The sequence below is a fragment of the Homo sapiens genome, chromosome 4 (genome assembly GCF_000001405.40).
Source record: "Homo sapiens chromosome 4, GRCh38.p14 Primary Assembly".
Taxonomy (NCBI): domain Eukaryota; kingdom Metazoa; phylum Chordata; class Mammalia; order Primates; family Hominidae; genus Homo; species Homo sapiens.
In genome coordinates this window covers 174,845,900-174,864,254 of record NC_000004.12, presented here as the reverse complement: position 1 = coordinate 174,864,254, position 18,355 = coordinate 174,845,900, and the positions used below count along the sequence as shown (strand labels likewise).

Sequence of the window (18,355 nt, the reverse complement as noted above, 5' to 3'; positions counted from 1 at the left end):
CCAACACTGCTTCATCTTCAGAACTCTGACTCAGTAGCCACAACTACACGGCCTTTCAGATTGGGACTTGAGGTTTGCTGCCCCCTCTTTCTGATACTGCTGCTTCCTTTGCTTGCCCTAAGAAGAGTGAGAATGACCAAGACACCACTCACCCTCCAGACTTTCATTTACAGGCAGGAATTCACCATCAAATTCCAGGAAGTCTTCTCATATCACTGATCCAAGAACACTAGGCCTTTGTCTTTCTCTCCAAAATTTTGTATCTCTTTCAGCGTCCCAATTTCATAGCCCAAACCAACAAGAATTCTGAAGGATTAAAGATTCATGCCACTTACCAACTAACATACCAGAACCTCATGAGTGCTTGCAGAAGGCACCAGACTCCCAGGTCAGAGACAAAAAAATAATGAATTACTACAGCAATTCGAGTAGCTGGAGTATCAGCTTTTTTGTTTGTACCAGTTTTCCAAGTCACATTTCCTACAGTGCAATGTGAAGGAGGCCAGATGATACCTGAACACACAGTGAATTGCATTACATTAGAGGATCTTTGAGCTTACAGAACAAGAGTCTTTGGTATAAGGCAATAATCATCCATGCCTTCTGCTTCAGAGACAGCAATGGGAGTCAAGATCAAGAGGTTCAGGAAGGAAGTCTATTAAGTAGGAAGGGCACCTATTATATAGTTTAGGTACAACGACTAAAGCCCATTGCTTATATGAAAATATTTTGGTGCTAAATTTATCTCCAATACAGATTGTAGCAGCAGTGGTAGACTTTTATTACCAAGGGCTCATTAAAGGGAAGGAGACTCTTGTTGCCACCATGCAGTGTTCTAATTGGTTTGAGGGTTTGGTATGTTAAAAACTCCACTTCATCTAGGTACTCTCAAGCAGACAGTACTCTTATTATGGAAATATAATCTGTCCAAACTTCTAATGCCAGGGCAGGCAATACAGATCACGTTTGCCAATTTGTTTCCTTTATCTGTTCAGACTCATCACTCAGTTAATTGAGGGGGAAACATATAGCAGTCTTTCAGTTTGTTAAAGAAGTAGCTGTTACTGTAGATGGCAATATATGGCAGTCCTCAAGCTAAAACAACCTACGATTTAAACAGCATATGATCATTTATTTATACTTCAATTGTGACTATGTGTATTATACTAAAAAATATTGCTATGCATATAAATATTAATTCACTTATTTCTGTGACTTTTATGTGATGTCCTCATATTGTAATATTATGCTACTATATTTGACCTAAAAGCTGAAAACATTTATATAGGAAAATTTTATACCAAATAGTATGAGAAAAAGTTAAAGCAGCTTAAAGATTCCATAATATGAGTATAGCTGAAAGGAAAGATAATAAGTGCTTAAATATCTGCTATTTATATAATTTATTAGATATTTTTGAATAAGAAATATCAGTTTATGTATCATTCTTTCTAAGTTTAAAAAAGTCATTCTTATTTCTTAGATATAGTAGAACCTATTCCTGTAGGCAGTTTTACAAGAATATAAAATATACCATAAATTGGAGAGAATCTAATAACAACTCAAATATGCTCACACACATACACACACACACACACACACACACACACATGCCTAGAGCAACACCGAGGCAAAGAAAATGGCTAAAAAGTAAAGCATCATCTTTTTATTGACCTTCAAATTTGATATCTAATTTCAGAAATGCCCTTGAGCTATTTCTAAAGTGAATGTCCTCTTGAATAAATGTCAAGATTCAACAATGAATCTGATTTTTAATGTACATCTATAAACATAAATATAATTTTACTTGAAATTATTTCAAGGTTTTGTCAGTCTCTGAATGCTCTAAGGAAAGATTCCATTTTAATACAACTTAGGTACAGGTATAAGACTTGGATGAAAAATTTACACTCTGTGTCATGGGACCCTAAGCGTTAAAGGTAGTACATAAATTTCTAGTACTGTTGAAGTAATTATCTGTAGAAAAAAGTAGTAGAGCATACTACCATTGAAGTCATTGTGAGGTGGAATGTCTTCTATATGCTACAAGTTAGAGAAAGACATAGGAAAATTCCTCATATTATTAGTCACCTGATATTGTTTGGCTGTATCCCCACTCAAAATCTCATCTTGAATTGTAATCCCCATAATTCCCTTAATCCCCACCTTTCAAACGACACACCAGGTGGAGATAATTGAATCATGGGGATGGTTTCCGCCGTGCTATTCTTGTGATCGTGAGTTCTCACAAGATTTGATGTTTTTATAAGTGCCTGGCATTTCGTCTGCCGGCTCCATTCTCTTCTGCCACCCTGTGAAGAAGGTCCTTGCTTCCCCTTTGCCTTCTGCCATTATCGTAAGTTTCCTGAGGCCTCCCCAGCCATGCTGAACTGTGAGTCAATTAAACCTCTTTCCTTTATAAATTACCCAGTCTTGGGCAGTTCTTTATAGTGATGTGAAAATGGACTAATACATCACCACAGGGGTTTACAAAAGCATGGAACAGAAAACAGATCAATGGCCAAGACGGACATTCTCAGCATTTATTTTTGTAAGACTTTGACCAGGCTGGGACCTTTCTCTCACAAGTATGGGAAAGTGGTGTAGAGAACATAAGTGACCACCACCAGTCCTTTGTCTAAAAGAAGAGACTGCAAGGACACTACCAACATTCATTCAGCCAAGAGTGAGTCTGAATTGTCATAAATTTCCCTTCATTCAGCAAAAAATAATTAAAACACTCAAGTCAAGTGTGGCCTATATTGGTAAAAAACTCATATATCATAATTAAGATATGAGAATATATGGAAGTGTGTGGGAATAATAATTTTCACGATTTTTTGCTACCTTAAAACCCAGAGAACTTTGCTTTGAACACAAGGAACATGGGAAAAGAATTTAATTATCCTAAATGTCTATATTCTTCTTCTTAATTTATATGGCTAGAAGAAAGAAACATTTACTTGTTTTAGACATTTGTAACATTTTGGGTACAGAAAATGTTTGGAGGTACTTGAGGGATTTTTGGCTTGTTTTTTTTGTTGTTGTTTGTTTGTTTGTTTTGTCTTGTGATTTCTCTATCAAAGGGGCGAAGAAAGAAGATAATTATTTTTAGAAGCAAACCTTTGTTTCTTAGGCCTCAGCAATCTGGCAATAAGAAAAGATTAAAAACAAGTTCACAATGTAAAACTTGTCTGGTACTGCATGTTCCTATTAATTTTTCAACAAAGCCAACCTCCCTTAATCTCTTCCTAGATAATCTTGAGAGGTTCCTACAAGTGTCATGCCCAATGCTCCATGAAGCTGCTGGTCTCCATGGCTACTGCATTATGTTTTATCACTTTCTCTTTCTTCTTTTTCTTAGTAAATATCCTTCCTCCAAATGTCAACCATGCTATTGACACTCACTAGAGACACAACTGCATCTGCAGCTGCCGCAGATTCAAATGTCTGACCCTGAGGCTGACCTTGGTGCTAAGTCTACACCAATTATTGTTGACTATCAATGTTAAGGACCCCACAGACTAAGCCAGGAATGGTGCCAAATTTTCCAGCCTGACTCCATCAATCAGTGCAAATGTTCTTCCTGGTCTGTGTTCTCAAATTTTCAATATTGCACATTGTATAAAAAACATCTATTTTTCTCTCTCTCCCACCACCTTGTGTTTTTCACTCTCACATTTTTTCTTTTATCCTAAGATAAAAGAATGCAAGTGGGTAAGGGGAAGAGAAGACTGATCTCAATTATAAATGCCATTTTACATCCTGAAACTTCTCCTCTCTGAAGCTCATTTGTAGTCCTTTCATTATTTGAATTCAAATATTATTTAAGGATCTATCCTGTGCCAGTGATCATTCTAAGTAATGAAAATATAAAGAAAAAAGTCTAAGGGGGTACTTACCTCATGAAGCATACCTTACAAGACAAGAGTCAAAATAAATAAGTAAATCCATAAAATAGATTATCATGACCTGGTAATTAAACAAAGTAGATGATGTGATAGAGTAACAGGTATGGTGCTGCTTTACACAAGATGGAAGAAGCTTTCTCTGGGAAGTATTCAAGCTGAGACATGGAGGACTAGAGAAGTTAACCATGCAGAGAGTTGAACATCCCAGTTAGAGGCAAGAGTAAATATAAACGCTTTAGAGAAGAGAGAGGGAAGTATTTTGAGGAACTGAAATAAAGCTTATTTATCATTTAACCTGTGTGACTTGACTCTATTTTAGAATAAGATTTTTTCCCTAGTATTCATTTGTACATCATCTACATCTACCACATTGTCTTCTAGGAATGCTTTAAACATGCCTAATTTTTAAAATGAATGTGTTTCACGCTCTAGCAAAGTTCCCTTTACAAGACAAAATATGCAGAAGTTTAAACAGAGCCCTCAGAAATAACGCCGCATATCTACAACTATCTGATCTTTGACAAACCTGAGAAAAACAAGCAATGGGGAAAGGATTCCCTATTTAATAAATGGTGCTGGGAAAACTGGCTAGCCATATGTAGAAAGCTGAAACTGGATCCCTTCCTTACACCTTATACAAAAATCAATTCAAGATGGATTAAAGACTTAAACCTTAGACCTAAAACCATAAAAACCCTAGAAGAAAACCTAGGCATTACCATTCAGGACATAGGCATGGGCAAGGACTTCATGTCCAAAACACCAAAAGCAATGGCAACAAAAGACAAAATTGACAAATGGGATCTAATTAAACTCAAGAGCTTCTGCACAGCAAAAGAAACTACCATCAGAGTGAACAGGCAACCTACAAAATGGGAGAAAATTTTCGCAACCTACTCATCTGACAAAGGGCTAATATCCAGAATCTACAATGAACTCAAACAAATTTACAAGGAAAAAACAAACAACCCTATCAAAAAGTGGGCGAAGGACATGAACAGACACTTCTCAAAAGAAGACATTTATGCAGCCAAAAAACACATGAAAAAATGCTCATCATCACTGGCCATCAGAGAAATGCAAATCAAAACCACAGTGAGATACCATCTCACACCAGTTAGAATGGCAATCATTAAAAAGTCAGGAAACAACAGGTGCTGGAGAGGATGTGGAGAAATAGGAACACTTTTACACTGTTGGTGGGACTGTAAACTAGTTCAACCATTGTGGAAGTCAGTGTGGCGATTCCTCAGGGATCTAGAACTAGAAATACCATTTGACCCAGCCATCCCATTACTGGGTATATACCCAAAGGACCATAAATCATGCTGCTATAAAGACACATGCACACGTATGTTTATTGTGGCATTATTCACAATAGCAAAGACTTGAAACCAACCCAAATGTCCAACAATGATAGACTGGATTAAGAAAATGTGGCACATATACACCATGGAATACTATGCAGCCATAAAAAATGATGAGTTCATGTCCTTTGTAGGGACATGGATGAAACTGGAAATCATCATTCTCAGTAAACTATCGCAACAACAAAAAACCAAACACCGCATATTCTCACTCATAGGTGGGAATTGAACAATGAGATCACATGGACACAGGAAGGGGAAAATCACACTCTGGGGACTGTTGTGGGGTGGGGGGAGTGGGGGAGGGATAGCATTGGGAGATATACCTAATGCTAGATGACGAGTTAGTGGGTGCAGCGCACCAGCATGGCACATGTATACATATGTAACTAACCTGCACAATGTGCACATGTACCCTAAAACTTAAAGTATAATAAAAAATAAATAAAAAATAAAAAAAGGCCAAATATTCACCAAAGCTACAAACAAACAAACAATGACAAAAAACCCCCCAAATCTAATATCAGTTAAAGTTTTTAAAATAGTTTAAAAGAGAACCATAAGAAACTTCCAGTTTCTGGCCTACCATGTAAGAAGCTTATAAATCACCACTTCAGTCTAACAATAAGAAAAATCCTGAACAAACTGAAAATTCTTCTTTTTTTTTGTTTAATTTTATTATTATTATACTTTAAGTTTTAGGCTACATGTGCACAATGTGCAGGTTTGTTACATATGTATACATGTGCCATGTTGGTGTGCTGCACCCATTAACTCGTCATTTAGCATTAGGTTTATCTCCTAATGCTATCCCTCCCCCCTCCCCCCACCCCACAACAGTCCCCAGAGTGTGATGTTCCCCTTTCTGTGTCCATGTGTTCTCATTGTTCACATTGATGCAAAAATCCTCAGTAAAATACTGGCAAACCAAATCCAGCAGCACATCAAAAAGCTTATCCACCATGATCAAGTGGGCTTCATCCCTGGGATGCAAGGCTGGTTCAACATATGCAAATCAATAAATGTAATCCAGCATATAAACAGAACCAAAGACAAAAACCACATGATTATCTCAATAGATGCAGAAAAGGCCTTTGACAAAATTCAACAACCCTTCATGCTAAAAACTCTCAATAAATTAGGTATTGATGGGACGTATCTCAAAATAATAAGAGCTATTTATGACAAACCCACAGCCAATATCATACTGAATGGGCAAAAACTGGAAGCATTCCCTTTGAAAACTGGCACAAGACAGGGATGCCCTCTCTCACCACTACTATTCAACACAGTGTTGGAAGTTCTGGCCAGGGCAATCAGGCAGGAGAAGGAAATAAAGGGTATTCAATTAGGAAAAGAGGAAGTCAAATTGAAAATTCTTCTTAGTACCTTAACAGACAAACCAATGCCCCCCAAATTGGAGAGACAAACAGGTGAATACAGGCAGTTAGGGCATATTGGAACAGAGAGTTGTGAGTTTAAACCACCATTGGAACCAGTGCGAGGATAGGAAAACCAAAAGTGTAACTGTGAGTCAGTGGAGGCTCAGTGAGGACAATTCTTGAGAGTTAAAAACGGGAACCCAGTTACGGTGCAACCCCCCCCCCACCCCCAACACACTTGCATGCATGTTACCTCCTGGAGCTCTCCAGGCCCTCACAATAAGTAATAGATAAAAAATCCCATCATGTTTTGGCCAGGTCAGAGGAAAATAACCCATTTGAATGTGCCTGAGAGTTCATTTATTCTTAACAAGGTCTGCCCTCAGAGGAGATTATTTAATCAAAGCCTAACTTCTTGGTTTTATCAGAGCCTCACAGACCTGGGGGAAGTGAAATATCCAACCACAGCTGGCTCTAGCATCCCCTGTGGAGGAAAGGAAATACCCAATTTCAGATCCCTCTAGTCATCCTGTCACATCTAAGTGGAGAAAACTGAGAAGCACTTGAGAAGTTCACAGTCCAGAACACAAGCTCACTAAAAGACTGAGACCTAATCATAGGACTATAGAACATTTCCCCTCCCCCAACACTGTACCAGCTCATTACTAAAAGCCTGTTTACATCAGTTCATTTTATCCAGTACATAATGTCCACCTGGCAGGAAAAAAATGACAAGACATACAAATAGGTAAAACACAGTGTGAAGAGACAGAAAATGCATTAAAATCAGACTCAGCGATGGCAGGGTGTTGGAAGTAACAGACGGGGAATTTAAAATAACTATGATTAATATGCTAAGGGCTCTAGTGGATAAAGTAGACAACATGTAAGAACAGGTGGTCAATGTGAACAAAGAGGTGGAAATTATAAGAAAGACTTCCCTCCAAATGCTAGAGATCAAAAAACTATAACAAAAGTGAAGAGTACCTTTGATGGGCCTCTCAGTAGACTGGACACAGCTGAGAATAGAATCTCTGAGATTGAGTCCATCTCAATAGAAATCACTGAAATTTAAAAGCAAAGAGAAAAGAGAATGAAAACTAAAAAGTCAGAACACAATATTTAAGAACTGTGAGAAACCACAAAAGCTGTAATGTATGTGTAAGGGCACTATCAGAAGGAGAAGAGATAAAGGAACAGAAGAACATTTGAAATAATAATAACCAAGATTTTCCCCAAATCAAGTCAGACACCAAACCACATGATGATGGAGAAAAAACATCTGCCAAAATATACGAATAGATGTTAATCTGAGCTAATATGAGTAACCGCAGCCCAGGTTACACAATCTCAACAAGTCCTGAGAGAAAGTGTACCCAAGGTGATTGGGTTACACATTGGTTTTATACATTTCAGGGAGACAGACATTGCAGGTAAAATCATAAATCAATATGCAGAAGGTATACATGGGTTTGTCCTGAAAATGTGGGACATCCCAAAATGAGGGCTTACAAGTCATAGGTGAGTTTTAGGGATTCTTTAGTTCACAATTGGTTGAGAGAATTAAGAAACTATCTAAAGACTTAAAGCCAGTACAAAAGAATGACTGAGTTAAGATTAATGGGATTGTGGAGACCAGGCTTCTTATTGTGTAAATAGACCCTCAAAGGTGGAAACTGTCAGAGGGAATAGATGGTAAATGTGTGTCTTCTCACTTTCAAAGGTGTCAGACTCTCAATTTCTCCTAGATCCAGGACAGGGATAGAAAGGGGAAATGTGGCTGCATTAATCTCCATTCTCTACAGATACAAATTTCTCCTACTTCAGTCTGCTGGCTTGTGACAGCCATTTCAAAATATATCAAAGAAGTACATTTAGGGGTAAAATATTTTTATTTCCTTCAGTCTGCTATATGTCATGTGGTGCTATACTATAGTCAGGTTGGAAAGTAAGCAACTTATATAGGGTTAATAAAAACCCATCTAAAGATATTTCATGGTGTATAAGGCATGACTTGCCAGGGCTCTTAGATAAGAATGTGGGCAGGAAGGGGGAAAAAGGTCAGAGTTTAGTTCTTACACAGTCCTTACACAGAGTTTAGTCCTTACACGTACAAAGACAGAGGGAGGGGGGCTCCAAAGCTGAAAGAGGAGACCCCACATTTGGAGGATACCAGCCAGTTTTATGCCATGGCTGGAGGAGGCGGTGTTTGATTTGCACAGGGCTCAGGGAATTGGTTTGACCAGGTATGTTATTCACTTAGCCAGCAAGAAAACTGGCCTTTCCACCCCAGCCCTTTAATATGCAAATGCAGGGCACCATGATGTTCTACACACATGGGGATATATGGGGGTGGCCATGTTGTCAGGCACCTGTTGGGGCAAGGGCAAGAGGACAACAGTGGGAATTGCCATGTTGGGTGGAACCAGTTTCTAAAGGCTGGCATTTGCATATTAAAGGTTGCCGTCCCAGGTTTAAGAGCCAGGGCTTTCATGCTATACAAGAAACGTTTTTTTGGAGCTGCGAAAAACCTTCCAAGGACCTCTTTTCCTCTCTATCTGCCTAAAATAATTTCTTAATAACTCCTACCACACTTGTAGAGGAACAGAGATAATAGTTACATCTGACTTCCCTTCAGAAACCATGCAAGCCAAGAAGAGAGTGGAGTGAAATATTTAAAGTGTTGAGAGAGGAAAAAAAAAAAAACAACACCTAGAGTTCTGTACCCTGAGAAATTACTCTTCAAATGTAAAGGAATTTTTTTTTTAGGTAAATAAAAATTTAATAAATTTGTTACCAGTAGACCTGACTTGCAAGAAATTTTAAAAGAAGTTCTTTAAAGAAAAACAAAATGATATAGTTCAGAAACACACATCTACATAAAGAAAGGAAAGCATTACTTAAGAAATAAGTGAAAGTAAAATAAAAACTTGTATTTTCCTTATTCTTAATTGATCTGATAGATGTTTGTTAACAATAGCAATAATATATTCAATTATGTATGCTTACGTACATACATAGACTTTTCTATGCTTATGCATGAATGAAATGAATGACAATAAGGGTGAGAGAGAAAAATATGAATTATTTTGTTATTATAAGATACACATGAAGTGGCATAGTGTTATTTGAAAGGGGACTTGGATTCACTGTAAATTTATATTGTAAACTCTGTGCAAACATTAAAAAGTCTCTAAGAATGGAGAGCAAATGAAATCATATAAAATGCTCAATTAAAACCACAAACGACAGAAAAATAGTGTAAGACAAAAATAGGAATAAAGAACAAGGTGAACAAACAGAAACTAACAAATATGTTAGGTATTAACCCAACTATATCACTAATCACTTTGAATCAGTGATTTAAATGCACCAATTAAGCAACAGATTTTAAAAAATACCCCATTATATGTTGTCTAAAAAAATCCCACTTTAAATATAAGGACACATATAGATTACAGGTAAATGGATGAGGAAAGATATACAGTAGGCCCCCCTTACCTTTGTTTTTGCTTTTGTTTTTGTTTTTAGTTCCTGTAGTTTTCATTAACAGCAGCCACAAACAGTCCGAAAATATTAAATGGAAAGTTCCAGAAGTAAACAATTCATAAATTTTAAATTGTGCATCATTCTTGGTAGCATGATAAACTCTCACACCATCAATCCTGCATTATCTTGTGTGGGATGTGAATAAACCTTTTGTCCAGCATACCCACACTGTATATGCTACTTGCCCATTAGTTGCTTAGTAACCGTCTCAGTTATCAGATTGACTATCATGATATCTCAGTGCTTGTGTTCAGGTTAATTCGTATTTTACATAATAATGGTTCCAAAATGCAATAATAGTCATGCTGAAAATTCAAACATGCCAAAGAAAGGACATAAAGTGATTCTTTTAGGTGAAGAGGTAAAAATCCTCAACTTAATAAAGGGAAAAAAAGCATATATTGATGTTGTTAAGATCTACAGTAAGAATGAATATTCTATCCATAAACTTATGAAGAAGCAAAAGAAATTTATGGTAGTTTTCTGTCACACCTTAAACTGCAAAAGCTCTAGCCACATTGTATGATAAGTACTTAGTTAAGTAGAAAAAGCACATAATTCATGGATGGAAGACATGAACTGAAAACATGTTCAATTATAGCAACGTGTTGTGCCAAAAAGTGTTGAACCTATGCAAAGACTCTATCAAGAAATCTCCTGATATGAATGACACCAAGTCATTAATGGAAAGTTAAAAGATGGTTACACAGATTTAAGAATACAAAAGGTCATCATTAGCCTACTGCTACATCACAAGGCTTATGTGATTCATGTCACTTTGTCTTATCACGTAGGCATTGTATCATTTCACAACATCACAAGAAGGGTGAATACTGTACAATAAAATATTTTTAGAGAGGCAGAGAAATCACATTCATATAACTTTTATTACAGTATATTGTCATGATTGTTATATTTTATTATTAGTTATTGTTGGTAATCTCTTACTGTGTCCAATGTATAAATTAAACTTTATCGTAGATATGTATACATAGGAAGAAACACAGCATATATAAGGTTTGATGCTATCCACTGTTTCAGGTGTCCACTGGGAGTCTTGGAACATATTCCTTGTGGATAAGGGGGATTACTGTACCATGCTAACACTAATCGAAAGAAAGTGGGAGTAGCGAGATTAATTGCAGACAGAGCAGATTTCAGAGCAAGGAAATTATCAGGGATAACAAGGGGCACTGCGCAATGATAATGAGGTCAATTCTCCAAGAAGACATAATAATTATTAATATATAAGAGCCTAACAATAGGGCATCAAAATATATGAGGCTAAAACTGATAGAACTGCAAGAAAAAGTAGATGAATCCACTATTACAATTAAAGACTTCAGCTCCCCTCTCTCACAAATGGAAAATTCCAGCAGCTAGAATTCATTAAGGCATAACTGAACACACCAGTGACATCATCAACTGGATATAATGAACATCTGTAGACTAATTCTTTCAACAATAACATTCTTCTCAAGATTGTATGGAAGCTTCACAAAGAGAGACCACATTCTGAGCCATAAAACACAGTTACCAAATTTAAAAGAATAGAAATTATACAGTGGCTGCTATTAGACCAGAATGGAGTTTAACTAGAAATCAATTTTAAAAAGGTAGTTTTAAAATCCCAAATTACTTGGAGATTAAAAAACATACTTGTAAATAACACATGGGCCAAAAAAAGAAATCTTAGGAGAAATTTAAAAGTATTTCAAAGTAAATAAAAATGAAAAAAACAACTTATCAAAATTTGTGGATGCAGAAAAAGCAGTTCTCAAAGGGAAATTTATGGCATTGAATGCTTTTATTAGAACAGAAGGAATATCTAAAATCAACAATCTAAAATTTTACCTTCCGAAACTAGGAAAAGAAGAGCAAATAAATCCAAAGTAAACAGGAGAAAAGAAATAAAAATCAGAGCAGAAATCAATGAAACTGAAAATAGAAATTCACTAAAGAAAATCAATGAAACCAAAGCCTGGTTCTTTAAAAAGATGAATAAAATCTATAATTTTCTAGATCAGCTAAGAAAAAAAGAGAGATAATACAAAATATTAATATCACAAATGAAAGAAGAGATATTACTACAGATCCATAGTCACTAAAAGAATAAAATAAAATATTATAAACAACTCTATGCACACAAATTTGATGACCTAGATGAGATACACCAATTCTTTAAAGGTACATCTTCCAAAACTCATACAAGAAGAAATAGAAAATCTGAATAGGCCCATAACTATTAAAAACTTAATCAATATTGATAACTGGATAACTGAAAGTGTCAGGCCCAGATGGGTTCACTGGTGTATTCTACCAAACATTTAAGGAAGAAATAATATCAATGATCTAGAAACTCTTTCAGAAGATAAAATCAAATAGAATACTTCCTCACTCATAAGAGGCCAGCATTATACTGATATCAAACCACAGGCATTACAAGAAAAGAAAACTACTGACCAATATCACTCATGAACATAGATTATAAAATCTTTAAAAACATTAGCAAATCAAATCAAACAATGTATAAAAGAATTATACGCCATGACCCAAATGGATTCATCCCAGTTATGTAAGGCTGGTTCAACATTTAAAAATCAATTAGCATTTGACAAAATCTAAGCCCCACTTATTATACAAACTGTCAGTAAACTAGAACTAGAGGAAAACTTCCTCAACTTAATAAAGATTATCTACAAATAGCCTACAGCTAACATGATACTCAACAGTAGGAAACTTCAAGCTTTCCCATTAAAACACAAGTCAAAGATGTTCTCTTAACCACTGTTTTTCAACATCATACTGGATGTCACAGCTAATTGAATAAGACAGAAAAAGGAAATAATAGGTTTATAGATTAGGAAGATAAAAATAAAAAAAACTATCTTTGTTTGTCGATGACATGATTGTCCATGTAGAAAATCCAAAATAATCAATGAAAAAGGTCCTGGAGCTAGTAAGATTATAGCAAGATTGTAGTATGCAAAGTTGATATATAAAAATTCATCACTTTCCTATATACCAATAATGAACAAGTGGAGTTTGAAATTAAAAACACAGTATCATTTACATTAGCATCACCCAAAAGTGAAATACTTAAAAGGTAGAAATCTAATAATACTTATATAAGATTTATATGAAGGAAATCACAAAATGCTGATGAAAGAAATTAAAGAACTAAATAAATGGAGAGATATTCCATGTTCATGAATAGGAAGATTCAATATTGTCAAGATGTCAGCTGTATAGATTCAACATAATCTCAATGAAAATCCCAGTAAGTTATTTTGTGTATATTGATAAAATGATTCTAAAGTTTATATGTAGTATCAAAAGACCCAGAGTAGCCAATACAATACTGAAGAAATAAAAGTCAAATGTCTAATACTACCCAAATTCAAAACTACTGTAAAACTACAGTAATCAAGAGAGAGGTATTAAAAAAATAGATAAATAGATTAATGGAACAGTATTCAGAGCCCACAACCCACAAATATGGTAAAATTATCTTTGACAATGGAGCAAAAGCAATAAAAAATGTAGAAAATACAGTCCTATCAACAAATGTTGCTGGAACAACTGGATATCCATATACAAAAAAAAATGTTGAAACTAGACACAGACCTTACATCCTTCACAAAAGTTGACTCAAAATAAATCACAGACCTAAATGTAAAATATAAATCTATAAAACTCCTAGAGGATAGCCTAGAAGAAAATATAAATGATTTCAGGTTTGGTGGTAACTTTTTAGTTACAACACCAAAGGAACAATATATGAAAGAAAGAATTAATAAGCTGGACTTTATTAAAACTTTTAAAAGCCTGCTATGCAAAAGACATTCTAAAGGGAATAAAAAGACAAGCCAGAGGCTGGGAGAAATTATTTGCAAAACACCTATCTGATAAAGTACCGGTATCCAAAATATACAAAGAACTCTTAAAACTCAACAGTAAGAAAACAACCTAATTTTAAAATGAGCCAAAGGTCTTCATGGACACCTCACCAAAGATATACAGATAAAAAGTGAACATATGAAAAGATGCTGCACATCACATGTCATCAGGGAAATGGGAATTAAAATGACAATAGGGTAACACTACACACCCATGAGAAAAGCCAAAATCCAGAATACTGACAACACCAAAGTTGGGAGGATGTAGAGCAACAGAAACTCTCATTCATTGCTGGTGGGAATGTGAAATGGGACAGACACTTTAGAAGGCAGTTTCTTTAAAAACTAAATATATTCTTACCATATGATTTAGCAACCATGCTCATTCATATTTACTTAAAGGAAAATTTATGTCCACAAAATGACCTACACAAATATGTTTATGGAAGCATTATTCATAATTTCCAATATTTGGAAATAATCAAGATTTGCAGAAGTAGGCAAATGGATAGAGTGTGCTCTACACAGAATAGTAGAACATTGTTCAGCACTAATAAGAAATGAACTATGAAGTCATAAAAAGAATGGAGGAAACTTAAATGCTTATTACTAAGTAAAAGAAACCTATCTGAAAAGGCTACATGCTTTATGGTTCCAACTGTATGACATCTGGAAAAGGCAAACCTGTGGAGAATATAACAAGATCAGTGGATAACAGGGGTGGAGGGAGGGAAGGCTGAATAGGCAGAACACAAGGAATTTTTAGGGCAGTGAAACTACTCTGTATGGTACTACAATGGTTGATAAATCCCACTGTATATTTGTCTAAACCTATAGAATGTACAACACTAAGAATGAACCTTAATGTAAGCTACGGACTTTGGGTGACAGTGATCTATCAATGTAGGTTCATCATTTGTAAAAATTTAAAAAGTACCACTGTGATAAGGGATGCTGATTATGACATAGGCTATAGATTTGTGGGAGTTGGGGTATTTATGTGGTAGGGGATGTTGATTATGACACAGGCTATACTTTTGTGGAAGTAGGGGTCTATAATTTCATACAGTTGGAAAACCTCTATACATTCCACCCAATTTTGCTGTGAACTTAAAACTGCTCTAGAAAAATAAAGTCCACTGAATTAAAAATAGAACCATAAACGCATATATTTGCTAGACGTAAAACTAATTCTAAACATAAGGGTATTACCACAAATCTGAGAAACATTAAGCTATGTGAAAGAAACTTGTCACAAAAGCCCACATATATGTGATTTGACTTACATGAAATGTTCAGAATAGGTCAGTCCATGGAGAGAAAGTAGATTAGTGTGGTTGCCAAGAACTAGAGGCAGAGGGAAATGAGTAGTGACTGTTAATGGTGTGGGGTCTATTTTTGGAGTGGTTATATGTTCTAAAATCAGAGAGTGGTAATGGTTGCATAATTATATGAATATACTTAAAAACTACTGAATTGCATACTTTCAAAGAGTGAATTTTATGGTATGAATGTAAATTATATCTCAATAAAGCTGTTATTTCAAAGTTATATTAATAATAAAATAAAAATATTACCTTTAACCTTTAAATTGTTGGGATTTTCTGTGGAAAAAATAAAATGGTATTACAGTTAAGAAATGTTCCCATAAATAACATTGGAACTTTCAAAAGGAATTCTAAAAAAATCAAACGTTTTGGAAGGAATTGAGAGCAAAGAAAAACGTATGAAATGAAATATGAATATGAAACAGATTGCAACTTTTATTTTATAGATAACAAACTAAAGCTTAGTTAGAATGACTTTGTGCAAGGTAATGAGAGAGTAGGTGCCAATGCTGGGAGTTGAATTCAGGCCAGTTAAGCCAATGTTAAAAATATTTTTATTGGTCTTGAGGTTTCCTTAAACATTTTGCTATCTCAGCAAATAGAGATCTTTCTCACACTCAACCATATTTCTAGAACACAAAAGTTCTACAAGGTTTTAAAAATTCATCCTCTTAAAACATTTACAGGGCATTAAAAAAAGAAAATGCATATTAAATATTCCAGATAATTAAAATTTCAAAATGTCTAGAAAATGACTAATCAAATCCTTTGTAACAAGTAGAACACTAATCATTGTGACCACAAATTTGAAACTGCCATTGTGAATCACTTGTTTTTGTATGTGTGGAATCAAAGCCATGCTTCATTTGTTTTGAGAACCTAATGCAGGAACATCTGTTTCAATGGTATCTGTTTAATATGAAAAAAGGCTGAATTGTTATGTTGGCCATTTATCAGTTCTGTTAACTATTACATGAAGGCAAATCGATCACACTGGAGAGAAATTCCAACTTACCAAAAAAGACACCCCACCGATTGTTAATGGAAACATACATTTTATTTATTCATTGACTCTAAATATTAATTTTATCCTATATCTGTGTCAGGCACTTCAGTAAGTTTTAAGGTTGTGATGTAAACTAAAACAAGACATTGCCCTTAAAAAAATGTGTTCTCAGTCTAATGAAGAAACAAGAATGTAAATAAAAATTTCAATACTTAGACAAACTCTGTAGTTGAAATAATCACACAGTATAGAAAAGGGCTGCCTAAATTTGTTAAGGGTGTTAATAAATGGAGGTGTTAAAATAAAGTTTCTCAATTGAGAAGTTAAAACTTTCTTTTACAAAGTAAAAAATTTGTGACAGTTATTGAGAGTATAACAATTCCAGACTTCAAGTAGCAAGCAGCTCCCAGCTACAACCAAACTATTGTACTTACAAAAAAGAATTCAGTGTATAGTTTCAGACAAGTATAAACACAAAATTAGGCATAAGTTTAATGAAACATTATCCCCCCAACAGATAATGTATCATCTATAAAACGAAACACTTAAGAGTTTGGGTATCATTTGAAGATCTGTAATATAAATTATCACAATTCTTCTGATATTACAGTACTTTTCAACTAATACACTTGTAAATGTTCTTAAAGTAGTATATAGGAAAATTACGTTATAATAAAGAAAGAAAGGATAAATAATTAGCAGGAAAATCATTGTAATAATCTGAGGGGAGAAAATTTTTGCAATGAAAATGTATCAAATGTTTACCTAAAAGGAAAAACATTAAAAATATGCAATGACTGCAGCATTATTCACAATAGCAAAGACATGGAATCAACCCAAATGCCCATCAATGATAGACTGGATAAAGAAAAAGTGGTATATATACACCATGGAATACTATGCAGCCATGAAAAGGAATCATGTCCTTTGCAGAGACATGGATTAGCTGGAAGTCATTATCCCCAGCAAACTGATGCAGGAACAGAACACCAAACACCACATGTTCTCATTTATAAGTGGGCACTGAACAATGAGAATACATGGACACAGGGAGGGGAACAAAACACACTGGGGCCTGTCAGGGAAGGGCAATAGGGGAGAGCATTAGGTAAAAGAGCTAATGCATACTGGGCTTAATATCTAGGTGATGGTTGACAGGTGCAGCATACCACCATGGCACATGTTTACCTGTGCAACAAACCTGCACATCCTGCACATGTAACCTGGAAGTTTAAAAAAAATCTAATTTAATTTTAAAAAATACAGTGTCAAAATAAGGCATAAATAACATCATCACAGAAAAAATCAATTAAAAAAAGAAATACTATATATATATATTTTTAAGGTAAGCATTTTGTAACCTATTCAAATAAAATTATCTGTATGTTTTAAATTCATGTTATAAAGGCAAAAAGCATAATATTCTGAGTACAATTCAAATGTTTTGAAAAAAAGGAATGAGCTGTGTAACATATTTTTTAACTTCAAAAATGTAAAGGAGGCCGGGCGCGGTGGCTCACGCCTGTAATCCCAGCACTTTGGGAGGCCGAGGCGGGCGGATCACGAGGTCAGGAGATCGAGACCATCCCGGCTAAAACGGTGAAACCCCGTCTCTACTAAAAATACAAAAAATTAGCCGGGCGTAGTGGCGGGCGCCTGTAGTCCCAGCTACTTGGGAGGCTGAGGCAGGAGAATGGCGTGAACCCGGGAGGTGGAGCTCGCAGTGAGCTGAGATCCCGCCACTGCACTCCAGCCTGGGCGACAGAGCGAGACTCCGTCTCAAAAAAAAAAAAAAAAAAAAAAAAAAAATGTAAAGGATACAAGCCAGGAAATAATGTTTTGTAAAAAAATTAAACTCTCATTTATTTTCTTTAACACTACATAGAATGAGGCTCAGTCAGTATTTGTGAATG

The 18,355-nt window shown here is 35.2% G+C and overlaps 1 long non-coding RNA gene across 1 annotated transcript in view; it reads right to left on the bottom strand.

Annotated features, from left to right (window-relative positions):
- LOC101928551 (uncharacterized) overlaps window positions 1-18,355 on the bottom strand; it is a 44,237-nt gene that overhangs the window by 11,710 nt on the left and 14,172 nt on the right. The window contains exon 3 of the long non-coding RNA NR_125900.1: window positions 7,648-7,724. This is a non-coding gene — a long non-coding RNA (uncharacterized LOC101928551). The remainder of the gene's footprint in view (window positions 1-7,647; window positions 7,725-18,355) is intronic.